Genomic DNA, 27,973 nt, shown 5'->3' with positions numbered 1-27,973 from the left:
TGAAGGGGGCTCCCTCACTCTGTGACTGTGAAGAGGAAGCCTGAGGTGTAGCAGGCCCTGGCCCCAGAAGTATGGAAAAAATGAGGTAGGGAGGGAGGGGACCTCAGGAGAAGACTGAGGTCTACAGAATCCCAGGATCAAGGGGATGGTACGGTGTCCTGGCACTGTCCTTGATGTTCCAAGAGGGGTGAGAATCCATCTCCTGAGTAAAAACTTCACATAGGGTGAGGAGTGGAGGCCAAGACAGCGATCAGCCTTACAGCAATTTTAACCAGAAATGGACACAGACCCTGGACCCCATCACAGGAGTGCAGGCCTAGGACTGTCTCCAGGTGAGGCATAGCTCCCTTGTCAGGTTAGTGGGTGCAGGGATTGTGGCGTCTGCAGGGGTGTGGAAGGCTGGGCAACGGGAGCAGATTACTGGGCTGGACAAGAAATACTGAACTTCTTTTCCATCAGTGAAATCTGCTTCTGGGTCAGAAAAAACTGCGAGTTCTAGAGGGGCAGGGCCTAGGAGGAGGTCAGGTCCTGAGCCTTCCTGGTTTGACCCCCTCCTACCCCCTGTGTTTCTGGGTATGTCCTCACTTCCACCCAGCGGATCCTGAGTCTCTTCCTTTGAGTCCCTGTGAGTGTGTTGTGTGCAGTGGGGCCGGGCTGCTTCATCCACTGCAAGTTAAATGCTTCCAATACTTTCTGGCCAAAGCTTAGAGTTGTCAGACCACTGACTTTGAATGTTGATCTGGTTCCTTGTGGAACAGAGTGGTAGCTATTGAAGTTTAAAGTCACTTTCGTGCGTGGATGGTAAAGAGGCAGGCTGTTCAGGCATAACTGCCCTCAGGCCTGGAGGGCTGTGGAGGTCACCGTGGGCATTGGGTGGATCCGGAACCTCTGTGTCTCTAGACTTTCAACTATTTCATTTTTTCTTTTGTAGTTTTTGTTTGTTGCTTGCTTTTTTACAATGGGAAGTAGAATGTAAGATGCCAAACTCAGCCTGTGGGGAACACGAATTTTCACAACAGCAACCACAGAGCGTGGTTTCCATTTCTATTCCCTGTTCATGTGGGAGGCAGAGAAGGAAATCAGGTGCTCAGTTCCAGGGACATCACAGGACTAGGACATGTGCAGTGAGGGTGGAAGGCGGAGGCATTGCTTTAGGAGAATAAAATTACTGCATGCACACACATATGTATGTATATGGATGTATGTACACAAACATGCATATTTATAGATTCTGTTCTCCCTCTGTCTATATAATTTTCTTTAACACTTGATATTATTTCTAAATTTAAATACCTTTGAGACAAATGTGAATTGTGAAGGGACTTAAAAATGTCAGTGAAAAATGGAATTAACAACAAAAATATAAATATAGACTTTATTTCTCAATAGAAGCTCTACTGAGGTCCAGACACTCCATTAAGGGATGATCCCAGCCATTCAGTCCATTGCTAAAGAACTGAGGGTAACGGGGATTTAACCGTGTCAATGCAGTCTTCTATTATTAACTAAAGAAAAATGGGTGCCCCTTACAGTTATTTTAAGATTAGGGAAAAAAAGGTCAGAAGAAACCAAATCAGGACTGTAATGTTGATGCCTAATAATTTCCCATGAAAACTCTTGCAAAATTACCCATGTTTGATGAGAGGAAGGAACAGAAGTGTTGTTGTGGTGCAGAGGGACTCTCTAGTGAAGCTTTACAGGGTGCTTTTCTGCAAAAGTATTTGCTAACTTTCTCTAAGAACTCTCCTAGTAAGCAGATGTTATGGTGCTTTAATCTTACAGAAAGTCAACAAGCAAAATGTCTTGAGCATCCCAAAACCTCCATGGCTTTTGCTTTTGAGAAGTTTGCTTTTGCTTTGACTGGACCACTTCTACCTCTTGGTAGCCATTGCTTGAATTGTGCTTTGTCTTCAGGATCTTATTGATAAAGCCAGTTTCACTCCCTGTTATAATTCTTCAAAATAATGCGGCAGGATCTTGATTCCGCTTACTCAAAATAGTCACTAATAGCTCTGCTTTTGTCCACTGCTCATCTAAGCACAAGGGTATTTGGGACTCACCAAATGTAAAGTTTCTCAACTTTCACGTTATAGTCAGTATTGTGTAAGCTGAACCAATTGAGATGTCTGTGGTGTTGGCTATAATATCTCTTGTTAATTGTCAATCCTCCTCAATTAGGGCATAGAAACGATTTTTTTTTTCTCAAAAATTGGTATGGATGTCCCTCTTCTGTTGACTTCATCTTCAACATTGTATTATCTCTTCTTAGAATAAGGTTTCCATTTGTAAATGACTGATTCTTCAGGTCATTTTTCCCACAGACTTTTCTTAAAGAATAATTTATTTCACCATTTTTTGTACCCCAGCTTCACCGTAAATTTGATGTTTGTTCTTGCTTCAGGTTTGACAGAATTCATGTTGCTGCCATAGAGGGGCTCTTTTCAAACTGATGTCTTTAAATCTTGTTCAGATATGTTAAAACAGGGCCAGGCATGGTGGCTCACGCCTGTAATCCCTGCATTTTGGAAGGTTAGAAAAAATGAAGTTTTTTAAAATTTTATTTTATTTCATTTTAAGTTCTGGGATACATGTGAGGATATGCAGGTTTGTTACATAAGTAAATGTGTGCCATGGTGGTTTGCTGTACCTATCAACCCATTGCCTAGATATTCAGCCCACATGCATTAGCTATTTATCCTGATGCACTCCCTCCCCACTCACCCCCAGACAGACTCCAGTGTGTGTTGTTCCCCTCCCTGTGTCTATGTTCTGTCATTGTTCATCTCCCACTTATAAGTGAGAACATGTGTATTTGGTTTTCTGTTCCTGCATTAGTTTGCTGAGAATAATGACTTCCAGCTTCATCCATGTCCCTGCAAAGGACATAATCTCATTCCTTTTTATGGCTGCATAGTATTCCATGGTGTATATGTATCACAGTTTCTGTATCCAGTCTATCATTGATGGGCATTTGGGTTGATTCTATGTCTTTGCTATTGTGAATAGTGCTGCAATGAACATATGCATGCATGTATCTTTATAATACAAGAATTTATATTCCTTTGGGTATAAACCCAGTAATGGGATTGCTGGGTCAAATGGTATTTCTGATTCTAGGTCTTTGAAAAATCACCACAGTCTTCCACAGTGGTTGAACTAACTTATATTCGCACCAACAGTGTAAAAATGTTCCTATTTCCCCACAGTCTCACCAGCATCTGTTGTTTTTTGACTTTTTAATAATCACTATTCTGACTGGCATGAGATTGTATCTCACTGCGGTTTTGATTTGTATTTCTCTAATGATCAGTAATGTTGGGCTTTTATTTCATGTTTGTTGGCTGCATAAATGTCTTCTTTTGAGAAGTGTCTGTTCATGTCCTTAGCCCACTTTTGAAATTTTTAAATTTTAATTTTTTAACACAGAGCCTTGCTCTGTCACTCAGAGTGGAGTTCAGTGGCACAATCTCGGGTCACTGCAACCTCTGCCTCCCAGATTCAGGCGATTCTTCTCTCTCAGGCTCTTGATTAGTTGGGATTACAGGCCCGCATCACTACATCAGGCTAATTTATTGTATTTTCAGTAGAGACGTGGTTTCACCAGCTTGGCCAGGCTGATCTTGAATTCCTGGCCTCAAGTTATGTGCCCACTTCACCCTCCCAAACTGCAGGGATTACAGGCATGAGCCACTGTACCCAGCTTTTGCCCACTTTTATATGGGGTTGGATTTTTTACAGCTTTGGGTTTTACATTTAAGTCTTTAATCCATTTTCAGTTCATTCCTGTATAAAGGTATAAGGAAGGGGTACAGATTCAGTTTTCTGCATATGTCTAGCCAGTTTTTCAAGCACCATTTATTATTAAACAGGGAATCCTTTCCCCATTGCTTGTTTTCATCAAAAATAAAATGGTTGTAGATGTGCAGTTTTATTTCTGATATATCTCTTCCATTCCGTTGGTCTATGTGTCTGTTTTGTACCACTACCATGCTGTTGGGTAACTGTAGCCTTGTAATATATTTTGAAGTCAGGTAGCATGATGCCTCTAACTTTGTTATTTTACCTTAGGATTGTCCTGGGTATATGGGCTCTTTTTTCATTCCATATGAATTTTGAAGTAGTTTTTTCTAATTTTGTAAAGAATGTCTATGGTAGTTTATGGGAATAGCATTGAATCTATGAATTACTTTGGGAAATATGGCTTTTTCATGATATTGATTCTTCTTACACATGAGCATGGAATGTTTTTCCTTTTGTTTGTGCCCTCTCTTATTTCCTTGAGTAGTGGTTTGTAGTTCTCCTTGAAGAGGTCCTTCACTTGCCTTGTTAGCTGTATTCCTAGGTATTTTATACTCTTTTCAGCAATTGTAAATGGGAACTCATTTGTGATTTGGCTCTCTTCTTGTCTGTTGTAGGTGTATAAGAATGCTTCTGATTTTTGCACACTGATTTTTTATCTTGAGACTTTACTGAGTTGCTGATAAACTTAAGAATCTTTTGGGCTGAGATGATGGGATTTTATAGATATAGGATCATGTCATCTGCAAACAAAGACAGTTCAACTTCCTCTTTTACTATTTGAATATGCTTTATTTCCTTCTCTTGCCTGATTGCCTTGGCCAGAACTTCCAGTACTATACTGAGTAGGAGTGGTGAGAGAGTGCATCCTTGCCTTGTGCCGAATTTCAAACGGAATGCTTCCAGCTTTTGCCTATTCAATATGATATTGGCTGTGGGTTTTTCATAAATGGCTCTTATTATTTTGAGATATGTTCCATCAATACCTAGTTTCATGAGGTTTTTAACTTAAAGGAATGTTGAATTTTATCAAAGATCTTTTCTGAGTCTACTGAGATAATCATGGGGTTTTTGTCTTTAGTTCTGTTTACATGGTGAATTACATTTATTGATTTGTTTATGTTCAACCAGCCTTGCACCAAAGGGATGAAGCTGACTTGATCTTGGAGGATAAGCTTTTTGATATGTTGCTGGATTTGGTTTGCCACTATTATATCGAGAAATTTTGCATCAAAGTTTATCAGAAATACTAAAGTCTAGTAAATACATTGAAAACAATAACAGACTGATTAAAAGACTAAATAATATGAATCCTAAGTGTTCTCACAACTGCTTTATAGAGTAAAAGAATTGTCAAAACAAATGAACTTGGCCAGAAACTGTATAGAGTCTGAGATGTTGTCTGAACTTCCAGTTACTCATTGTGAGGTGGAACTGCAGTAACAATATTTGGTGTAAAATTTCATGTGATGGAAGCTGAGATGTCCTGCAGTCTCAGAGGGACAGAATTCTGGTGAATCTCCCTTTGGCCTATAAGGAATGAAGATTTAGGCTCTGACGGTTCAGTCAAAATTTATAAGATGTAAGAAATGGGGACGTCGTGAGGCCATGAGGCAAGGCCTACAGGTGTAAAGACATAACTTCTAACCCAGGGCTCATGAAGTCATCATAATGTCAGAGGCGATGGTGGATTGAGCATAGTATGGTCTTTGGAACCATTCCTTCCACTTATTTCTTCACAGGCCAGGTATGTGCAACAAGGGGGCATCTTGGGCCTGATGAGCAGAGTCCTGAAGAGACAAAGGGGCAATCCTGAGGAAGAGATTTGACAGGGAGGAAGAAGCCACCAATATCACTACTGATAAAACTCCTCGTCCCTAGTAAACCATAGGATTTTCCTTGGTCTCACTGAGAGTTTACCTGAGTGAACAGAAAGAGAGACAAACGGACTGATGGGTTAACTGTTTCCACTACCTGAAGTGATTCTGAAACGTTGGGGTCAGGAGAATTATCTTAAGAATCAAGAGCAACCCAGATACCAGGGTTACACAAAAGAGACTGGAAGTTCTTATCTTTGGGGGGTAGGCACTAGGCACTGATATTCGTTAAAGCTCACTAAATGACTACAAAGTGAGAAAAATAAATACTCCGCTGCAAGATTTAGACATGATATTTTGTTTCACACACAATTCATTAGTCTTCAGAGCCAAGGGCTCTTGGTTCCCTGCCTCTTGACACACTCTCACTGTGTCTTTCCCATTCACTCTTCTGGATGTAAAAGAGGACGTAGGCCTGTTGACTCAGGACAGAAGTGATGCTAGAGGCGGTGACCTCGGCATCATCCATTTTATACCACTGGCCTTCTTGAGCTTTGACATAAGAGAAGTAATGTCCGTTGTGACAACTCCACCCAGCGTGGACCAGCACAGCATAGAGGACATAGACAAGAGGTCCTGTGTTCTGCTGAGACATGTATGGCTGCATGTCAAGGCACTCAGGATATTGCACATTCTTGGCAATCTTGTTGCCTGTGACATCGGAGAATCTCTTCAATACAAGGATGAGGACCTTGGCAGAGGTGTGTAAAGTTAACGTCTTGGAGGCCGGCGCCCTCTGGAGACAAACACCACAATGATAGGCATTCTCTCCATTGAGTTCTTCGGGCTTCACCAACTGTTCCAAAGCTTGCTGGACACTCTGAGCTGCCTGGATATCCAGGGCGATGTCCAGGTAAGGGTCAAAAGTGTCTGAAATGCCGTGGCAGTGGAGACACTTGATTTGAGATCTCCAGTAGCCTCCAAATATTTGGTGGATGAGGGTGGTGTCCTTAGAGTGATGATCTACCTGCTTGTGCCCGGGAAGGCATGCCTTTTTCATGGCATCCACAGTGAACATGAGAAATTCATGGGCATCTTCCTGCTTGCCTCTATGGAAGCCAGCAGCCAATGCCTGTGAGGGCTGGATGACGTGGCCAGGATTGTGGAGGGCCCGTGTGATGTGAGCTTGCATAGTACAGAGCATGCAGCCCTTGTGACGATGACACGTTTGAGAGTGCTCCCGGGACAGCATGTAGTTGGCAAGGGGCGGTGTGTATGTCAGGCACTGCAAGGAAGCGTTCACGTAGCAGGTATTTCCCATATTCTGGAGCCCAGCCCCCACCGCAGCAGGTCTCCTGCTACTCAGAGGAAGCTTCTCCCTGGGAGCAAGCTGTCTTGCCACAGGAGCCAAATCATCACAGAGGTCGACACGGGTCTCACATGAGAGTGGTGACTTCTCAGGGAGAGAAGTCCGCTGGATTTCAGCAAAAGCTGCATCGGGCCGAGAAGATGTGAGTTTTGAAAAGTGGTTGAACTGCCACTCACCTCTCAAGTAGAGTGAGTCGTCCTCCATGTCGACTGGAACGAGGATCACAAGGTTTGTCTGCTGGGACCGCAGGTTGCAGAAAGACGCTATCCCTTCCGAGAGAGTCTTCAAATGACGAGCTCTCTGGCCGCATCAGCCCTTCTGTAAGTCACCCCCACCAACCGCGAACACCCCACCCACTCATCAGGTGCGCGATAAGCCAATCAAATATCAGCACTCAATTCAGGAAGGAGTCACAGGGTGTGTCCCCTGGCATCGCTGGGAATTCAACAGACACAGCCCACAGCATGACTTCCAGAACACCTGAATCAAATTACTCCTCAGGATGATAGGCACATATAATAGGAGTGTATCCGGGTTGGGACAGTGGCCTCACAGTTGCCTTATTTTAGGTAAAGCAATGGCAGGGAAGAAATCTTTACCTAGGAAACCGTGTGCGTGTGTGTGTGTGAGTGTGTTTGTGTGTGTGGGGGGGGGGCGTGTGTGTGTGTGTGTTTGTGCTGGGATGAACCTCCAAGTAGGTACTTTTGGCAGCTGCCATCATCCTCTCAGCGAAGGAAGGACAAGAAGTCGAAAGTGCGCTTTCTGACCTGAGAATAGTCAATGAAGTATAGTATTTAGCACAGCGTATTTTCTTCCCTAGTGAGAAAGGAGAGATCCGTGGAATCAAACAGACCTTCCAGCGATAACCTTTCCACGTTGAGCCTATTGATTCTCTGTCCGAGTGAAATTACCTGCCAGTGGAGAACAAGACAAGTCTTTGCATGAAATGCTCTTGTGGAAGCTAGATTGCCAAATAATAAAGCATCAAATGGTAGAAACATGCACTGAAGTTTGAAGAGATACTCAGTGCACAAAGTAGACTGTGAAAGCCTTTGGGGAAATCATGCAATCCCCGAGAGACTAATTGATGACAATCCCCAAATTTATGTTTGCCAGAAAAGAGAGACGGTCATGACACCGCATAGTGAGCGGTTTCGGACGTGCGACGGCAGTTTAAGAAAACACGAAACAAAAAACTTGAGAACTCAGAAGGTATCCCAGCTATAACCTTTTGTTTATTAAGGAATTGATGAAAATAAAAACAACGTATCTCACAGCATGTGTGATAATATTTCCATACGTATGTGATAATGGATCAACGTTTCCTAGAGATGAAATAAAAAGTTCTAATTTGGACAAAAGCAAACAAGGAAAATTATACCGTAGAAAAGCCCGGCTGACGGAAGTGAGGCCCTGTCTCAGGGAGAAACATCGGAGACGTTTAAAAGCAGGGAGTGAAACAGAGGATAGCGTGCCATTTTTAATACTGGCCCTTGTTTCAGTGGGAAAAGGCCAAAATAAGCCGTGCATATCCTGGATTCTCGCATCGATCGTTCAGGATCGGAGATGTTGCCTCCATTTCCAGTTACGCATTGTATGGTGGAATTGCAGTTAGCACATTTGGTGCCAAAATTGTAATGCTGCCGAAAGTGGACATGTTCCCTGAAGTAAGAGGGACAGAATTTGGGTGTGTCTTCCGGCTGTCTGGCTTAGCAGGAATGAAGATCCTGGCTCTAGGGATTTTCCCAACATGTCTTAGACGGTAAGGAACAGGGCGGAATTGAGGCCCGGCGCCAAGGCCTCTAGGTGTAAAGAAACAGCCCTGGCTTCAGGGCCCATGAAATTAGGATGATTTTAAGGAGGATGATGGGATGAGAGGACTGTGACCTTTGGCCCCGTTTCTTTCCCTTGTCTTTTCATGGGCCAGGTGTGCTCCATCAGAAGGCTTCCTGTGCCGGATGTAAAGTGTCCTGGGGGAAGAAAAGAGCGCTGCTTAGAAAGATGCTCCACAGGGAGAAAGGAGCCACCATTTTCAGGAGAATGATCCCCAGAAGCATGAGCAATGCAGATGCCGAGGCTTCACACAAGACCCTGGAGGGTCTTATTCCTGCAGCCGGGACCTGGGCATCGGTGTGCTTGAATGCTCATAACCGATTTTGAGGGGAGCCCAATCGATAAGCTGTCTGCCAGTCATGCTCATCACACTGTAGTTTTCACACACGTCACACGGAGACCCTGTTCGTATGCACATTTGGGTGCTTGAGCAGGGTTGCGCCCAAGATTCTGTGGTTCTACGGAGCCCTGAGTTGTGCCCTGGGCAGCTTTCCTCTGGGGTTGGTCAACTTTGATCACTGTACCTGACGAGAAAGGGACCATGAAGTCTAATCAGCAAATAGAGAAAAGGAAGGGGCCATTTCCCACAATCATTTCCACGGAAACACCACGTCGGATCAATAAGTCTCACTGCGGGACAGGGACTGTGCTTCAGAGATGCAGCTTTCGCAGCTGGACAAATGACCCAGAAATTCCCCAAATGCCATTTTTAAACACACCCAGTGAGATTGATTTCAGGGCTTTCTGAATTTATTTCAGTTGAATACACACACTCCTGTGTTTGCTTTCCTTTATTATCAATACAGCTTACTTCCAGATGACTTACATGCCCGTGGGAAAATTTTCCGTTTCGACTCATGGGAAGCGGGCACCGTGAAACAGGCAAGTCGGTCTGTCCGCTTCCGGCGTTATGTGGGTTCCAGCAAGAGCACAAGTCCCAGGGCGCCTGAGGTCCATTCAGGAACCAGTGTAAAAACGGCGAGCCCGGGGAAGAAAGAAGAGCACCGTTCTTCTCTTCCAAATGCATTCCAGTTTCCACTATTCAAGGTGGCGAGAATGATCCACGGATGTCCCACATGAGCCACATTTCACCTTCTCATGCCGACCAACAACTGACGAATGAAACACACCCCAAGAGAAAATACGAAACCGAGTCCCCTGCAATTACCTCACACGCAAACCTACACGTCGGTAGGTCATATTCAGAAATACACACTGAATGTCACCTATCATGAACACAAACACTCAGACAGTCCCTCCAGAGGTTCGGAAGACTCACGACCCCAAAACTTGATGTTTCCCATATGCGGGCTCATCCTGAGATGTAGCCATCACTATCCAGTTGTCCCTGTTGTAGAGACAGAAACTTGGGCTCCTCATTAGTTTATGTAGGATTGACGGTGTTCGTGTTTGTGTGGGTGTGTGTGTGTTTGCGTGCGCGCTTCTGGGTGTAGTTATGTGTGTGTCTGTGTGTGTGCGTGTGTGTGTGCACCCCTACGTGTGGGTCGGTACTTCCACTGAGATCACTGGCACACAAGCAGAGCCCTCTTGCTGTGTTTGTTCTTCCCTTTGGATCTCCTGGCCCTCCCTCGCAGGGAAGCGAGTGTGCCAGTGTTCATGGACTCCTGATGTGTCGGGGTCGACGAAGAGAGGTTTAGCAGGGAGCTTTGCTGTTCAGGATGATGGTTCTTCATCCCACACTTGTATTTTGATTGATGAATCACAAGTACGTCGGGAGGCAGGGTACCTTCGACTTTTCTGACGTTGAACTCAGGCTTCGTTTTGTTTTGCTCTTGAAGGAATTTCCAGTGGTCTAAGGTGCTTTCCTGAGTGGCTCTTTCCACCAAGTGCTCGTCCAACTCGGGGGCCTGGAGGCAGGGGTGGTCTCTCTTGAGCTCTCCTTGCGTTGCTCGCCTGTCGGTGTCTTCTGCGCCAAGGGCTCTTGGTTCCCTGCCTCTTGACACACTCTCACTGTGTCTTTCCCATTCACTCTTCTGGATGTAAAAGAGGACGTAGGCCTGTTGACTCAGGACAGAAGTGATGCTAGAGGCGGTGACCTCGGCATCATCCATTTTATACCACTGGCCTTCTTGAGCTTTGACATAAGAGAAGTAATGTCCGTTGTGACAACTCCACCCAGCGTGGACCAGCACAGCATAGAGGACATAGACGAGAGGTCCTGTGTTCGGCTGAGACATGTATGGCTGCATGTCAAGGCACTCAGGATATTGCACATTCTTGGCAATCTTGTTGCCTGTGACATCGGAGAATCTCTTCAATACAAGGATGAGGACCTTGGCAGAGGTGTGTAAAGTTAACGTCTTGGAGGCCGGCGCCCTCTGGAGACAAACACCACAATGATAGGCATTCTCTCCATTGAGTTCTTCGGGCTTCACCAACTGTTCCAAAGCTTGCTGGACACTCTGAGCTGCCTGGATATCCAGGGCGATGTCCAGGTAAGGGTCAAAAGTGTCTGAAATGCCGTGGCAGTGGAGACACTTGATTTGAGATCTCCAGTAGCCTCCAAATATTTGGTGGATGAGGGTGGTGTCCTTAGAGTGATGATCTACCTGCTTGTGCCCGGGAAGGCATGCCTTTTTCATGGCATCCACAGTGAACATGAGAAATTCATGGGCATCTTCCTGCTTGCCTCTATGGAAGCCAGCAGCCAATGCCTGTGAGGGCTGGATGACGTGGCCAGGATTGTGGAGGGCCCGTGTGATGTGAGCTTGCATAGTACAGAGCATGCAGCCCTTGTGACGATGACACGTTTGAGAGTGCTCCCGGGACAGCATGTAGTTGGCAAGGGGCGGTGTGTATGTCAGGCACTGCAAGGAAGCGTTCACGTAGCAGGTATTTCCCATATTCTGGAGCCCAGCCCCCACCGCAGCAGGTCTCCTGCTACTCAGAGGAAGCTTCTCCCTGGGAGCAAGCTGTCTTGCCACAGGAGCCAAATCATCACAGAGGTCGACACGGGTCTCACATGAGAGTGGTGACTTCTCAGGGAGAGAAGTCCGCTGGATTTCAGCAAAAGCTGCATCGGGCCGAGAAGATGTGAGTTTTGAAAAGTGGTTGAACTGCCACTCACCTCTCAAGTAGAGTGAGTCGTCCTCCATGTCGACTGGAACGAGGATCACAAGGTTTGTCTGCTGGGACCGCAGGTTGCAGAAAGACGCTATCCCTTCCGAGAGAGTCTTCAAATGACGAGCTCTCTGGCCGCATCAGCCCTTCTGTAAGTCACCCCCACCAACCGCGAACACCCCACCCACTCATCAGGTGCGCGATAAGCCAATCAAATATCAGCACTCAATTCAGGAAGGAGTCACAGGGTGTGTCCCCTGGCATCGCTGGGAATTCAACAGACACAGCCCACAGCATGACTTCCAGAACACCTGAATCAAATTACTCCTCAGGATGATAGGCACATATAATAGGAGTGTATCCGGGTTGGGACAGTGGCCTCACAGTTGCCTTATTTTAGGTAAAGCAATGGCAGGGAAGAAATCTTTACCTAGGAAACCGTGTGCGTGTGTGTGTGTGAGTGTGTTTGTGTGTGGGGGGGGGGGGGCGTGTGTGTGTGTGTGTTTGTGCTGGGATGAACCTCCAAGTAGGTACTTTTGGCAGCTGCCATCATCCTCTCAGCGAAGGAAGGACAAGAAGTCGAAAGTGCGCTTTCTGACCTGAGAATAGTCAATGAAGTATAGTATTTAGCACAGCGTATTTTCTTCCCTAGTGAGAAAGGAGAGATCCGTGGAATCAAACAGACCTTCCAGCGATAACCTTTCCACGTTGAGCCTATTGATTCTCTGTCCGAGTGAAATTACCTGCCAGTGGAGAACAAGACAAGTCTTTGCATGAAATGCTCTTGTGGAAGCTAGATTGCCAAATAATAAAGCATCAAATGGTAGAAACATGCACTGAAGTTTGAAGAGATACTCAGTGCACAAAGTAGACTGTGAAAGCCTTTGGGGAAATCATGCAATCCCCGAGAGACTAATTGATGACAATCCCCAAATTTATGTTTGCCAGAAAAGAGAGACGGTCATGACACCGCATAGTGAGCGGTTTCGGACGTGCGACGGCAGTTTAAGAAAACACGAAACAAAAAACTTGAGAACTCAGAAGGTATCCCAGCTATAACCTTTTGTTTATTAAGGAATTGATGAAAATAAAAACAACGTATCTCACAGCATGTGTGATAATATTTCCATACGTATGTGATAATGGATCAACGTTTCCTAGAGATGAAATAAAAAGTTCTAATTTGGACAAAAGCAAACAAGGAAAATTATACCGTAGAAAAGCCCGGCTGACGGAAGTGAGGCCCTGTCTCAGGGAGAAACATCGGAGACGTTTAAAAGCAGGGAGTGAAACAGAGGATAGCGTGCCATTTTTAATACTGGCCCTTGTTTCAGTGGGAAAAGGCCAAAATAAGCCGTGCATATCCTGGATTCTCGCATCGATCGTTCAGGATCGGAGATGTTGCCTCCATTTCCAGTTACGCATTGTATGGTGGAATTGCAGTTAGCACATTTGGTGCCAAAATTGTAACGCTGCCGAAAGTGGACATGTTCCCTGAAGTAAGAGGGACAGAATTTGGGTGTGTCTTCCGGCTGTCTGGCTTAGCAGGAATGAAGATCCTGGCTCTAGGGATTTTCCCAACATGTCTTAGACGGTAAGGAACAGGGCGGAATTGAGGCCCGGCGCCAAGGCCTCTAGGTGTAAAGAAACAGCCCTGGCTTCAGGGCCCATGAAATTAGGATGATTTTAAGGAGGATGATGGGATGAGAGGACTGTGACCTTTGGCCCCGTTTCTTTCCCTTGTCTTTTCATGGGCCAGGTGTGCTCCATCAGAAGGCTTCCTGTGCCGGATGTAAAGTGTCCTGGGGGAAGAAAAGAGCGCTGCTTAGAAAGATGCTCCACAGGGAGAAAGGAGCCACCATTTTCAGGAGAATGATCCCCAGAAGCATGAGCAATGCAGATGCCGAGGCTTCACACAAGACCCTGGAGGGTCTTATTCCTGCAGCCGGGACCTGGGCATCGGTGTGCTTGAATGCTCATAACCGATTTTGAGGGGAGCCCAATCGATAAGCTGTCTGCCAGTCATGCTCATCACACTGTAGTTTTCACACACGTCACACGGAGACCCTGTTCGTATGCACATTTGGGTGCTTGAGCAGGGTTGCGCCCAAGATTCTGTGGTTCTACGGAGCCCTGAGTTGTGCCCTGGGCAGCTTTCCTCTGGGGTTGGTCAACTTTGATCACTGTACCTGACGAGAAAGGGACCATGAAGTCTAATCAGCAAATAGAGAAAAGGAAGGGGCCATTTCCCACAATCATTTCCACGGAAACACCACGTCGGATCAATAAGTCTCACTGCGGGACAGGGACTGTGCTTCAGAGATGCAGCTTTCGCAGCTGGACAAATGACCCAGAAATTCCCCAAATGCCATTTTTAAACACACCCAGTGAGATTGATTTCAGGGCTTTCTGAATTTATTTCAGTTGAATACACACACTCCTGTGTTTGCTTTCCTTTATTATCAATACAGCTTACTTCCAGATGACTTACATGCCCGTGGGAAAATTTTCCGTTTCGACTCATGGGAAGCGGGCACCGTGAAACAGGCAAGTCGGTCTGTCCGCTTCCGGCGTTATGTGGGTTCCAGCAAGAGCACAAGTCCCAGGGCGCCTGAGGTCCATTCAGGAACCAGTGTAAAAACGGCGAGCCCGGGGAAGAAAGAAGAGCACCGTTCTTCTCTTCCAAATGCATTCCAGTTTCCACTATTCAAGGTGGCGAGAATGATCCACGGATGTCCCACATGAGCCACATTTCACCTTCTCATGCCGACCAACAACTGACGAATGAAACACACCCCAAGAGAAAATACGAAACCGAGTCCCCTGCAATTACCTCACACGCAAACCTACACGTCGGTAGGTCATATTCAGAAATACACACTGAATGTCACCTATCATGAACACAAACACTCAGACAGTCCCTCCAGAGGTTCGGAAGACTCACGACCCCAAAACTTGATGTTTCCCATATGCGGGCTCATCCTGAGATGTAGCCATCACTATCCAGTTGTCCCTGTTGTAGAGACAGAAAGTTGGGCTCCTCATTAGTTTATGTAGGATTGACGGTGTTCGTGTTTGTGTGGGTGTGTGTGTGTTTGCGTGCGCGCTTCTGGGTGTAGTTATGTGTGTGTCTGTGTGTGTGCGTGTGTGTGTGCACCCCTACGTGTGGGTCGGTACTTCCACTGAGATCACTGGCACACAAGCAGAGCCCTCTTGCTGTGTTTGTTCTTCCCTTTGGATCTCCTGGCCCTCCCTCGCAGGGAAGCGAGTGTGCCAGTGTTCATGGACTCCTGATGTGTCGGGGTCGACGAAGAGAGGTTTAGCAGGGAGCTTTGCTGTTCAGGATGATGGTTCTTCATCCCACACTTGTATTTTGATTGATGAATCACAAGTACGTCGGGAGGCAGGGTACCTTCGACTTTTCTGACGTTGAACTCAGGCTTCGTTTTGTTTTGCTCTTGAAGGAATTTCCAGTGGTCTAAGGTGCTTTCCTGAGTGGCTCTTTCCACCAAGTGCTCGTCCAACTCGGGGGCCTGGAGGCAGGGGTGGTCTCTCTTGAGCTCTCCTTGCGTTGCTCGCCTGTCTGTGTCTTCTGCGCCAAGGGCTCTTGGTTCCCTGCCTCTTGACACACTCTCACTGTGTCTTTCCCATTCACTCTTCTGGATGTAAAAGAGGACGTAGGCCTGTTGACTCAGGACAGAAGTGATGCTAGAGGCGGTGACCTCGGCATCATCCATTTTATACCACTGGCCTTCTTGAGCTTTGACATAAGAGAAGTAATGTCCGTTGTGACAACTCCACCCAGCGTGGACCAGCACAGCATAGAGGACATAGACAAGAAGTCATGTGTTCTGCTGAGACATGTATGGCTGCATGTCAAGGCACTCAGGATATTGCACATTCTTGGCAATCTTGTTGCCTGTGACATCGGAGAATCTCTTCAATACAAGGATGAGGACCTTGGCAGAGGTGTGTAAAGTTAACGTCTTGGAGGCCGGCGCCCTCTGGAGACAAACACCACAATGATAGGCATTCTCTCCATTGAGTTCTTCGGGCTTCACCAACTGTTCCAAAGCTTGCTGGACACTCTGAGCTGCCTGGATATCCAGGGCGATGTCCAGGTAAGGGTCAAAAGTGTCTGAAATGCCGTGGCAGTGGAGACACTTGATTTGAGATCTCCAGTAGCCTCCAAATATTTGGTGGATGAGGGTGGTGTCCTTAGAGTGATGATCTACCTGCTTGTGCCCGGGAAGGCATGCCTTTTTCATGGCATCCACAGTGAACATGAGAAATTCATGGGCATCTTCCTGCTTGCCTCTATGGAAGCCAGCAGCCAATGCCTGTGAGGGCTGGATGACGTGGCCAGGATTGTGGAGGGCCCGTGTGATGTGAGCTTGCATAGTACAGAGCATGCAGCCCTTGTGACGATGACACGTTTGAGAGTGCTCCCGGGACAGCATGTAGTTGGCAAGGGGCGGTGTGTATGTCAGGCACTGCAAGGAAGCGTTCACGTAGCAGGTATTTCCCATATTCTGGAGCCCAGCCCCCACCGCAGCAGGTCTCCTGCTACTCAGAGGAAGCTTCTCCCTGGGAGCAAGCTGTCTTGCCACAGGAGCCAAATCATCACAGAGGTCGACACGGGTCTCACATGAGAGTGGTGACTTCTCAGGGAGAGAAGTCCGCTGGATTTCAGCAAAAGCTGCATCGGGCCGAGAAGATGTGAGTTTTGAAAAGTGGTTGAACTGCCACTCACCTCTCAAGTAGAGTGAGTCGTCCTCCATGTCGACTGGAACGAGGATCACAAGGTTTGTCTGCTGGGACCGCAGGTTGCAGAAAGACGCTATCCCTTCCGAGAGAGTCTTCAAATGACGAGCTCTCTGGCCGCATCAGCCCTTCTGTAAGTCACCCCCACCAACCGCGAACACCCCACCCACTCATCAGGTGCGCGATAAGCCAATCAAATATCAGCACTCAATTCAGGAAGGAGTCACAGGGTGTGTCCCCTGGCATCGCTGGGAATTCAACAGACACAGCCCACAGCATGACTTCCAGAACACCTGAATCAAATTACTCCTCAGGATGATAGGCACATATAATAGGAGTGTATCCGGGTTGGGACAGTGGCCTCACAGTTGCCTTATTTTAGGTAAAGCAATGGCAGGGAAGAAATCTTTACCTAGGAAACCGTGTGCGTGTGTGTGTGTGAGTGTGTTTGTGTGTGTGGGGGGGGGGCGTGTGTGTGTGTGTGTTTGTGCTGGGATGAACCTCCAAGTAGGTACTTTTGGCAGCTGCCATCATCCTCTCAGCGAAGGAAGGACAAGAAGTCGAAAGTGCGCTTTCTGACCTGAGAATAGTCAATGAAGTATAGTATTTAGCACAGCGTATTTTCTTCCCTAGTGAGAAAGGAGAGATCCGTGGAATCAAACAGACCTTCCAGCGATAACCTTTCCACGTTGAGCCTATTGATTCTCTGTCCGAGTGAAATTACCTGCCAGTGGAGAACAAGACAAGTCTTTGCATGAAATGCTCTTGTGGAAGCTAGATTGCCAAATAATAAAGCATCAAATGGTAGAAACATGCACTGAAGTTTGAAGAGATACTCAGTGCACAAAGTAGACTGTGAAAGCCTTTGGGGAAATCATGCAATCCCCGAGAGACTAATTGATGACAATCCCCAAATTTATGTTTGCCAGAAAAGAGAGACGGTCATGACACCGCATAGTGAGCGGTTTCGGACGTGCGACGGCAGTTTAAGAAAACACGAAACAAAAAACTTGAGAACTCAGAAGGTATCCCAGCTATAACCTTTTGTTTATTAAGGAATTGATGAAAATAAAAACAACGTATCTCACAGCATGTGTGATAATATTTCCATACGTATGTGATAATGGATCAACGTTTCCTAGAGATGAAATAAAAAGTTCTAATTTGGACAAAAGCAAACAAGGAAAATTATACCGTAGAAAAGCCCGGCTGACGGAAGTGAGGCCCTGTCTCAGGGAGAAACATCGGAGACGTTTAAAAGCAGGGAGTGAAACAGAGGATAGCGTGCCATTTTTAATACTGGCCCTTGTTTCAGTGGGAAAAGGCCAAAATAAGCCGTGCATATCCTGGATTCTCGCATCGATCGTTCAGGATCGGAGATGTTGCCTCCATTTCCAGTTACGCATTGTATGGTGGAATTGCAGTTAGCACATTTGGTGCCAAAATTGTAACGCTGCCGAAAGTGGACATGTTCCCTGAAGTAAGAGGGACAGAATTTGGGTGTGTCTTCCGGCTGTCTGGCTTAGCAGGAATGAAGATCCTGGCTCTAGGGATTTTCCCAACATGTCTTAGACGGTAAGGAACAGGGCGGAATTGAGGCCCGGCGCCAAGGCCTCTAGGTGTAAAGAAACAGCCCTGGCTTCAGGGCCCATGAAATTAGGATGATTTTAAGGAGGATGATGGGATGAGAGGACTGTGACCTTTGGCCCCGTTTCTTTCCCTTGTCTTTTCATGGGCCAGGTGTGCTCCATCAGAAGGCTTCCTGTGCCGGATGTAAAGTGTCCTGGGGGAAGAAAAGAGCGCTGCTTAGAAAGATGCTCCACAGGGAGAAAGGAGCCACCATTTTCAGGAGAATGATCCCCAGAAGCATGAGCAATGCAGATGCCGAGGCTTCACACAAGACCCTGGAGGGTCTTATTCCTGCAGCCGGGACCTGGGCATCGGTGTGCTTGAATGCTCATAACCGATTTTGAGGGGAGCCCAATCGATAAGCTGTCTGCCAGTCATGCTCATCACACTGTAGTTTTCACACACGTCACACGGAGACCCTGTTCGTATGCACATTTGGGTGCTTGAGCAGGGTTGCGCCCAAGATTCTGTGGTTCTACGGAGCCCTGAGTTGTGCCCTGGGCAGCTTTCCTCTGGGGTTGGTCAACTTTGATCACTGTACCTGACGAGAAAGGGACCATGAAGTCTAATCAGCAAATAGAGAAAAGGAAGGGGCCATTTCCCACAATCATTTCCACGGAAACACCACGTCGGATCAATAAGTCTCACTGCGGGACAGGGACTGTGCTTCAGAGATGCAGCTTTCGCAGCTGGACAAATGACCCAGAAATTCCCCAAATGCCATTTTTAAACACACCCAGTGAGATTGATTTCAGGGCTTTCTGAATTTATTTCAGTTGAATACACACACTCCTGTGTTTGCTTTCCTTTATTATCAATACAGCTTACTTCCAGATGACTTACATGCCCGTGGGAAAATTTTCCGTTTCGACTCATGGGAAGCGGGCACCGTGAAACAGGCAAGTCGGTCTGTCCGCTTCCGGCGTTATGTGGGTTCCAGCAAGAGCACAAGTCCCAGGGCGCCTGAGGTCCATTCAGGAACCAGTGTAAAAACGGCGAGCCCGGGGAAGAAAGAAGAGCACCGTTCTTCTCTTCCAAATGCATTCCAGTTTCCACTATTCAAGGTGGCGAGAATGATCCACGGATGTCCCACATGAGCCACATTTCACCTTCTCATGCCGACCAACAACTGACGAATGAAACACACCCCAAGAGAAAATACGAAACCGAGTCCCCTGCAATTACCTCACACGCAAACCTACACGTCGGTAGGTCATATTCAGAAATACACACTGAATGTCACCTATCATGAACACAAACACTCAGACAGTCCCTCCAGAGGTTCGGAAGACTCACGACCCCAAAACTTGATGTTTCCCATATGCGGGCTCATCCTGAGATGTAGCCATCACTATCCAGTTGTCCCTGTTGTAGAGACAGAAAGTTGGGCTCCTCATTAGTTTATGTAGGATTGACGGTGTTCGTGTTTGTGTGGGTGTGTGTGTGTTTGCGTGCGCGCTTCTGGGTGTAGTTATGTGTGTGTCTGTGTGTGTGCGTGTGTGTGTGCACCCCTACGTGTGGGTCGGTACTTCCACTGAGATCACTGGCACACAAGCAGAGCCCTCTTGCTGTGTTTGTTCTTCCCTTTGGATCTCCTGGCCCTCCCTCGCAGGGAAGCGAGTGTGCCAGTGTTCATGGACTCCTGATGTGTCGGGGTCGACGAAGAGAGGTTTAGCAGGGAGCTTTGCTGTTCAGGATGATGGTTCTTCATCCCACACTTGTATTTTGATTGATGAATCACAAGTACGTCGGGAGGCAGGGTACCTTCGACTTTTCTGACGTTGAACTCAGGCTTCGTTTTGTTTTGCTCTTGAAGGAATTTCCAGTGGTCTAAGGTGCTTTCCTGAGTGGCTCTTTCCACCAAGTGCTCGTCCAACTCGGGGGCCTGGAGGCAGGGGTGGTCTCTCTTGAGCTCTCCTTGCGTTGCTCGCCTGTCGGTGTCTTCTGCGCCAAGGGCTCTTGGTTCCCTGCCTCTTGACACACTCTCACTGTGTCTTTCCCATTCACTCTTCTGGATGTAAAAGAGGACGTAGGCCTGTTGACTCAGGACAGAAGTGATGCTAGAGGCGGTGACCTCGGCATCATCCATTTTATACCACTGGCCTTCTTGAGCTTTGACATAAGAGAAGTAATGTCCGTTGTGACAACTCCACCCAGCGTGGACCAGCACAGCATAGAGGACATAGACGAGAGGTCCTGTGTTCGGCTGAGACATGTATGGCTGCATGTCAAGGCACTCAGGATATTGCACATTCTTGGCAATCTTGTTGCCTGTGACATCGGAGAATCTCTTCAATACAAGGATGAGGACCTTGGCAGAGGTGTGTAAAGTTAACGTCTTGGAGGCCGGCGCCCTCTGGAGACAAACACCACAATGATAGGCATTCTCTCCATTGAGTTCTTCGGGCTTCACCAACTGTTCCAAAGCTTGCTGGACACTCTGAGCTGCCTGGATATCCAGGGCGATGTCCAGGTAAGGGTCAAAAGTGTCTGAAATGCCGTGGCAGTGGAGACACTTGATTTGAGATCTCCAGTAGCCTCCAAATATTTGGTGGATGAGGGTGGTGTCCTTAGAGTGATGATCTACCTGCTTGTGCCCGGGAAGGCATGCCTTTTTCATGGCATCCACAGTGAACATGAGAAATTCATGGGCATCTTCCTGCTTGCCTCTATGGAAGCCAGCAGCCAATGCCTGTGAGGGCTGGATGACGTGGCCAGGATTGTGGAGGGCCCGTGTGATGTGAGCTTGCATAGTACAGAGCATGCAGCCCTTGTGACGATGACACGTTTGAGAGTGCTCCCGGGACAGCATGTAGTTGGCAAGGGGCGGTGTGTATGTCAGGCACTGCAAGGAAGCGTTCACGTAGCAGGTATTTCCCATATTCTGGAGCCCAGCCCCCACCGCAGCAGGTCTCCTGCTACTCAGAGGAAGCTTCTCCCTGGGAGCAAGCTGTCTTGCCACAGGAGCCAAATCATCACAGAGGTCGACACGGGTCTCACATGAGAGTGGTGACTTCTCAGGGAGAGAAGTCCGCTGGATTTCAGCAAAAGCTGCATCGGGCCGAGAAGATGTGAGTTTTGAAAAGTGGTTGAACTGCCACTCACCTCTCAAGTAGAGTGAGTCGTCCTCCATGTCGACTGGAACGAGGATCACAAGGTTTGTCTGCTGGAACCGCAGGTTGCAGAAAGACGCTATCCCTTCCGAGAGAGTCTTCAAATGACGAGCTCTCTGGCCGCATCAGCCCTTCTGTAAGTCACCCCCACCAACCGCGAACACCCCACCCACTCATCAGGTGCGCGATAAGCCAATCAAATATCAGCACTCAATTCAGGAAGGAGTCACAGGGTGTGTCCCCTGGCATCGCTGGGAATTCAACAGACACAGCCCACAGCATGACTTCCAGAACACCTGAATCAAATTACTCCTCAGGATGATAGGCACATATAATAGGAGTGTATCCGGGTTGGGACAGTGGCCTCACAGTTGCCTTATTTTAGGTAAAGCAATGGCAGGGAAGAAATCTTTACCTAGGAAACCGTGTGCGTGTGTGTGTGTGAGTGTGTTTGTGTGTGTGGGGGGGGGGCGTGTGTGTGTGTGTGTTTGTGCTGGGATGAACCTCCAAGTAGGTACTTTTGGCAGCTGCCATCATCCTCTCAGCGAAGGAAGGACAAGAAGTCGAAAGTGCGCTTTCTGACCTGAGAATAGTCAATGAAGTATAGTATTTAGCACAGCGTATTTTCTTCCCTAGTGAGAAAGGAGAGATCCGTGGAATCAAACAGACCTTCCAGCGATAACCTTTCCACGTTGAGCCTATTGATTCTCTGTCCGAGTGAAATTACCTGCCAGTGGAGAACAAGACAAGTCTTTGCATGAAATGCTCTTGTGGAAGCTAGATTGCCAAATAATAAAGCATCAAATGGTAGAAACATGCACTGAAGTTTGAAGAGATACTCAGTGCACAAAGTAGACTGTGAAAGCCTTTGGGGAAATCATGCAATCCCCGAGAGACTAATTGATGACAATCCCCAAATTTATGTTTGCCAGAAAAGAGAGACGGTCATGACACCGCATAGTGAGCGGTTTCGGACGTGCGACGGCAGTTTAAGAAAACACGAAACAAAAAACTTGAGAACTCAGAAGGTATCCCAGCTATAACCTTTTGTTTATTAAGGAATTGATGAAAATAAAAACAACGTATCTCACAGCATGTGTGATAATATTTCCATACGTATGTGATAATGGATCAACGTTTCCTAGAGATGAAATAAAAAGTTCTAATTTGGACAAAAGCAAACAAGGAAAATTATACCGTAGAAAAGCCCGGCTGACGGAAGTGAGGCCCTGTCTCAGGGAGAAACATCGGAGACGTTTAAAAGCAGGGAGTGAAACAGAGGATAGCGTGCCATTTTTAATACTGGCCCTTGTTTCAGTGGGAAAAGGCCAAAATAAGCCGTGCATATCCTGGATTCTCGCATCGATCGTTCAGGATCGGAGATGTTGCCTCCATTTCCAGTTACGCATTGTATGGTGGAATTGCAGTTAGCACATTTGGTGCCAAAATTGTAATGCTGCCGAAAGTGGACATGTTCCCTGAAGTAAGAGGGACAGAATTTGGGTGTGTCTTCCGGCTGTCTGGCTTAGCAGGAATGAAGATCCTGGCTCTAGGGATTTTCCCAACATGTCTTAGACGGTAAGGAACAGGGCGGAATTGAGGCCCGGCGCCAAGGCCTCTAGGTGTAAAGAAACAGCCCTGGCTTCAGGGCCCATGAAATTAGGATGATTTTAAGGAGGATGATGGGATGAGAGGACTGTGACCTTTGGCCCCGTTTCTTTCCCTTGTCTTTTCATGGGCCAGGTGTGCTCCATCAGAAGGCTTCCTGTGCCGGATGTAAAGTGTCCTGGGGGAAGAAAAGAGCGCTGCTTAGAAAGATGCTCCACAGGGAGAAAGGAGCCACCATTTTCAGGAGAATGATCCCCAGAAGCATGAGCAATGCAGATGCCGAGGCTTCACACAAGACCCTGGAGGGTCTTATTCCTGCAGCCGGGACCTGGGCATCGGTGTGCTTGAATGCTCATAACCGATTTTGAGGGGAGCCCAATCGATAAGCTGTCTGCCAGTCATGCTCATCACACTGTAGTTTTCACACACGTCACACGGAGACCCTGTTCGTATGCACATTTGGGTGCTTGAGCAGGGTTGCGCCCAAGATTCTGTGGTTCTACGGAGCCCTGAGTTGTGCCCTGGGCAGCTTTCCTCTGGGGTTGGTCAACTTTGATCACTGTACCTGACGAGAAAGGGACCATGAAGTCTAATCAGCAAATAGAGAAAAGGAAGGGGCCATTTCCCACAATCATTTCCACGGAAACACCACGTCGGATCAATAAGTCTCACTGCGGGACAGGGACTGTGCTTCAGAGATGCAGCTTTCGCAGCTGGACAAATGACCCAGAAATTCCCCAAATGCCATTTTTAAACACACCCAGTGAGATTGATTGCAGGGCTTTCTGAATTTATTTCAGTTGAATACACACACTCCTGTGTTTGCTTTCCTTTATTATCAATACAGCTTACTTCCAGATGACTTACATGCCCGTGGGAAAATTTTCCGTTTCGACTCATGGGAAGCGGGCACCGTGAAACAGGCAAGTCGGTCTGTCCGCTTCCGGCGTTATGTGGGTTCCAGCAAGAGCACAGGTCCCAGGGCGCCTGAGGTCCATTCAGGAACCAGTGTAAAAACGGCGAGCCCGGGGAAGAAAGAAGAGCACCGTTCTTCTCTTCCAAATGCATTCCAGTTTCCACTATTCAAGGTGGCGAGAATGATCCACGGATGTCCCACATGAGCCACATTTCACCTTCTCATGCCGACCAACAACTGACGAATGAAACACACCCCAAGAGAAAATACGAAACCGAGTCCCCTGCAATTACCTCACACGCAAACCTACACGTCGGTAGGTCATATTCAGAAATACACACTGAATGTCACCTATCATGAACACAAACACTCAGACAGTCCCTCCAGAGGTTCGGAAGACTCACGACCCCAAAACTTGATGTTTCCCATATGCGGGCTCATCCTGAGATGTAGCCATCACTATCCAGTTGTCCCTGTTGTAGAGACAGAAAGTTGGGCTCCTCATTAGTTTATGTAGGATTGACGGTGTTCGTGTTTGTGTGGGTGTGTGTGTGTTTGCGTGCGCGCTTCTGGGTGTAGTTATGTGTGTGTCTGTGTGTGTGCGTGTGTGTGTGCACCCCTACGTGTGGGTCGGTACTTCCACTGAGATCACTGGCACACAAGCAGAGCCCTCTTGCTGTGTTTGTTCTTCCCTTTGGATCTCCTGGCCCTCCCTCGCAGGGAAGCGAGTGTGCCAGTGTTCATGGACTCCTGATGTGTCGGGGTCGACGAAGAGAGGTTTAGCAGGGAGCTTTGCTGTTCAGGATGATGGTTCTTCATCCCACACTTGTATTTTGATTGATGAATCACAAGTACGTCGGGAGGCAGGGTACCTTCGACTTTTCTGACGTTGAACTCAGGCTTCGTTTTGTTTTGCTCTTGAAGGAATTTCCAGTGGTCTAAGGTGCTTTCCTGAGTGGCTCTTTCCACCAAGTGCTCGTCCAACTCGGGGGCCTGGAGGCAGGGGTGGTCTCTCTTGAGCTCTCCTTGCGTTGCTCGCCTGTCGGTGTCTTCTGCGCCAAGGGCTCTTGGTTCCCTGCCTCTTGACACACTCTCACTGTGTCTTTCCCATTCACTCTTCTGGATGTAAAAGAGGACGTAGGCCTGTTGACTCAGGACAGAAGTGATGCTAGAGGCGGTGACCTCGGCATCATCCATTTTATACCACTGGCCTTCTTGAGCTTTGACATAAGAGAAGTAATGTCCGTTGTGACAACTCCACCCAGCGTGGACCAGCACAGCATAGAGGACATAGACGAGAGGTCCTGTGTTCGGCTGAGACATGTATGGCTGCATGTCAAGGCACTCAGGATATTGCACATTCTTGGCAATCTTGTTGCCTGTGACATCGGAGAATCTCTTCAATACAAGGATGAGGACCTTGGCAGAGGTGTGTAAAGTTAACGTCTTGGAGGCCGGCGCCCTCTGGAGACAAACACCACAATGATAGGCATTCTCTCCATTGAGTTCTTCGGGCTTCACCAACTGTTCCAAAGCTTGCTGGACACTCTGAGCTGCCTGGATATCCAGGGCGATGTCCAGGTAAGGGTCAAAAGTGTCTGAAATGCCGTGGCAGTGGAGACACTTGATTTGAGATCTCCAGTAGCCTCCAAATATTTGGTGGATGAGGGTGGTGTCCTTAGAGTGATGATCTACCTGCTTGTGCCCGGGAAGGCATGCCTTTTTCATGGCATCCACAGTGAACATGAGAAATTCATGGGCATCTTCCTGCTTGCCTCTATGGAAGCCAGCAGCCAATGCCTGTGAGGGCTGGATGACGTGGCCAGGATTGTGGAGGGCCCGTGTGATGTGAGCTTGCATAGTACAGAGCATGCAGCCCTTGTGACGATGACACGTTTGAGAGTGCTCCCGGGACAGCATGTAGTTGGCAAGGGGCGGTGTGTATGTCAGGCACTGCAAGGAAGCGTTCACGTAGCAGGTATTTCCCATATTCTGGAGCCCAGCCCCCACCGCAGCAGGTCTCCTGCTACTCAGAGGAAGCTTCTCCCTGGGAGCAAGCTGTCTTGCCACAGGAGCCAAATCATCACAGAGGTCGACACGGGTCTCACATGAGAGTGGTGACTTCTCAGGGAGAGAAGTCCGCTGGATTTCAGCAAAAGCTGCATCGGGCCGAGAAGATGTGAGTTTTGAAAAGTGGTTGAACTGCCACTCACCTCTCAAGTAGAGTGAGTCGTCCTCCATGTCGACTGGAACGAGGATCACAAGGTTTGTCTGCTGGGACCGCAGGTTGCAGAAAGACGCTATCCCTTCCGAGAGAGTCTTCAAATGACGAGCTCTCTGGCCGCATCAGCCCTTCTGTAAGTCACCCCCACCAACCGCGAACACCCCACCCACTCATCAGGTGCGCGATAAGCCAATCAAATATCAGCACTCAATTCAGGAAGGAGTCACAGGGTGTGTCCCCTGGCATCGCTGGGAATTCAACAGACACAGCCCACAGCATGACTTCCAGAACACCTGAATCAAATTACTCCTCAGGATGATAGGCACATATAATAGGAGTGTATCCGGGTTGGGACAGTGGCCTCACAGTTGCCTTATTTTAGGTAAAGCAATGGCAGGGAAGAAATCTTTACCTAGGAAACCGTGTGCGTGTGTGTGTGTGAGTGTGTTTGTGTGTGTGGGGGGGGGGCGTGTGTGTGTGTGTGTTTGTGCTGGGATGAACCTCCAAGTAGGTACTTTTGGCAGCTGCCATCATCCTCTCAGCGAAGGAAGGACAAGAAGTCGAAAGTGCGCTTTCTGACCTGAGAATAGTCAATGAAGTATAGTATTTAGCACAGCGTATTTTCTTCCCTAGTGAGAAAGGAGAGATCCGTGGAATCAAACAGACCTTCCAGCGATAACCTTTCCACGTTGAGCCTATTGATTCTCTGTCCGAGTGAAATTACCTGCCAGTGGAGAACAAGACAAGTCTTTGCATGAAATGCTCTTGTGGAAGCTAGATTGCCAAATAATAAAGCATCAAATGGTAGAAACATGCACTGAAGTTTGAAGAGATACTCAGTGCACAAAGTAGACTGTGAAAGCCTTTGGGGAAATCATGCAATCCCCGAGAGACTAATTGATGACAATCCCCAAATTTATGTTTGCCAGAAAAGAGAGACGGTCATGACACCGCATAGTGAGCGGTTTCGGACGTGCGACGGCAGTTTAAGAAAACACGAAACAAAAAACTTGAGAACTCAGAAGGTATCCCAGCTATAACCTTTTGTTTATTAAGGAATTGATGAAAATAAAAACAACGTATCTCACAGCATGTGTGATAATATTTCCATACGTATGTGATAATGGATCAACGTTTCCTAGAGATGAAATAAAAAGTTCTAATTTGGACAAAAGCAAACAAGGAAAATTATACCGTAGAAAAGCCCGGCTGACGGAAGTGAGGCCCTGTCTCAGGGAGAAACATCGGAGACGTTTAAAAGCAGGGAGTGAAACAGAGGATAGCGTGCCATTTTTAATACTGGCCCTTGTTTCAGTGGGAAAAGGCCAAAATAAGCCGTGCATATCCTGGATTCTCGCATCGATCGTTCAGGATCGGAGATGTTGCCTCCATTTCCAGTTACGCATTGTATGGTGGAATTGCAGTTAGCACATTTGGTGCCAAAATTGTAACGCTGCCGAAAGTGGACATGTTCCCTGAAGTAAGAGGGACAGAATTTGGGTGTGTCTTCCGGCTGTCTGGCTTAGCAGGAATGAAGATCCTGGCTCTAGGGATTTTCCCAACATGTCTTAGACGGTAAGGAACAGGGCGGAATTGAGGCCCGGCGCCAAGGCCTCTAGGTGTAAAGAAACAGCCCTGGCTTCAGGGCCCATGAAATTAGGATGATTTTAAGGAGGATGATGGGATGAGAGGACTGTGACCTTTGGCCCCGTTTCTTTCCCTTGTCTTTTCATGGGCCAGGTGTGCTCCATCAGAAGGCTTCCTGTGCCGGATGTAAAGTGTCCTGGGGGAAGAAAAGAGCGCTGCTTAGAAAGATGCTCC

General features: G+C 47.5%; 3 protein-coding genes and 2 pseudogenes across 5 annotated transcripts; all 5 read right to left on the bottom strand.

The window, feature by feature from the left end:
* Positions 1–5,991: 5,991 nt before the first annotated feature.
* USP17L6P (ubiquitin specific peptidase 17 like family member 6, pseudogene) lies at positions 5,992–7,188 on the bottom strand (annotated as a pseudogene). Its single transcript, NR_027279.1, has one exon. The product of NR_027279.1 is annotated as a ubiquitin specific peptidase 17 like family member 6, pseudogene (transcript).
* A 3,152-nt stretch (positions 7,189–10,340) lies between these two features.
* USP17L30 (ubiquitin specific peptidase 17 like family member 30) lies at positions 10,341–11,933 on the bottom strand. The gene has a single exon (NM_001256867.1). It carries the CDS (start codon positions 11,931–11,933, stop codon positions 10,341–10,343), a length of 1,593 nt encoding a protein of 530 aa, NP_001243796.1.
* A 3,154-nt stretch (positions 11,934–15,087) lies between these two features.
* On the bottom strand, positions 15,088–16,680 carry USP17L9P (ubiquitin specific peptidase 17 like family member 9, pseudogene; annotated as a pseudogene). Its single transcript, NR_046416.1, has one exon. The product of NR_046416.1 is annotated as a ubiquitin specific peptidase 17 like family member 9, pseudogene (transcript).
* A 3,151-nt stretch (positions 16,681–19,831) lies between these two features.
* Positions 19,832–21,424, bottom strand: USP17L29 (ubiquitin specific peptidase 17 like family member 29). The gene has a single exon (NM_001242332.1). It carries the CDS (start codon positions 21,422–21,424, stop codon positions 19,832–19,834), a length of 1,593 nt encoding a protein of 530 aa, NP_001229261.1.
* Positions 21,425–24,576: 3,152 nt separating this feature from the next.
* On the bottom strand, positions 24,577–26,169 carry USP17L28 (ubiquitin specific peptidase 17 like family member 28). The gene has a single exon (NM_001242331.1). It carries the CDS (start codon positions 26,167–26,169, stop codon positions 24,577–24,579), a length of 1,593 nt encoding a protein of 530 aa, NP_001229260.1.
* Positions 26,170–27,973: the final 1,804 nt, after the last annotated feature.

Source organism: Homo sapiens, chromosome 4 (genome assembly GCF_000001405.40).
Source record: "Homo sapiens chromosome 4, GRCh38.p14 Primary Assembly".
Classification (NCBI taxonomy): domain Eukaryota; kingdom Metazoa; phylum Chordata; class Mammalia; order Primates; family Hominidae; genus Homo; species Homo sapiens.
The sequence above is the reverse complement of the archived record's forward strand: the minus strand, read 5'-3'. Positions and strand labels throughout refer to the sequence as shown.

Coding starts and splice junctions, on each gene's coding strand:
- USP17L29 (NM_001242332.1), bottom strand. CDS start 21,424: ATGGAGGACGACTCACTCTACTTGAGAGGTGAGTGGCAGTTCAACCAC.
- USP17L30 (NM_001256867.1), bottom strand. CDS start 11,933: ATGGAGGACGACTCACTCTACTTGAGAGGTGAGTGGCAGTTCAACCAC.
- USP17L28 (NM_001242331.1), bottom strand. CDS start 26,169: ATGGAGGACGACTCACTCTACTTGAGAGGTGAGTGGCAGTTCAACCAC.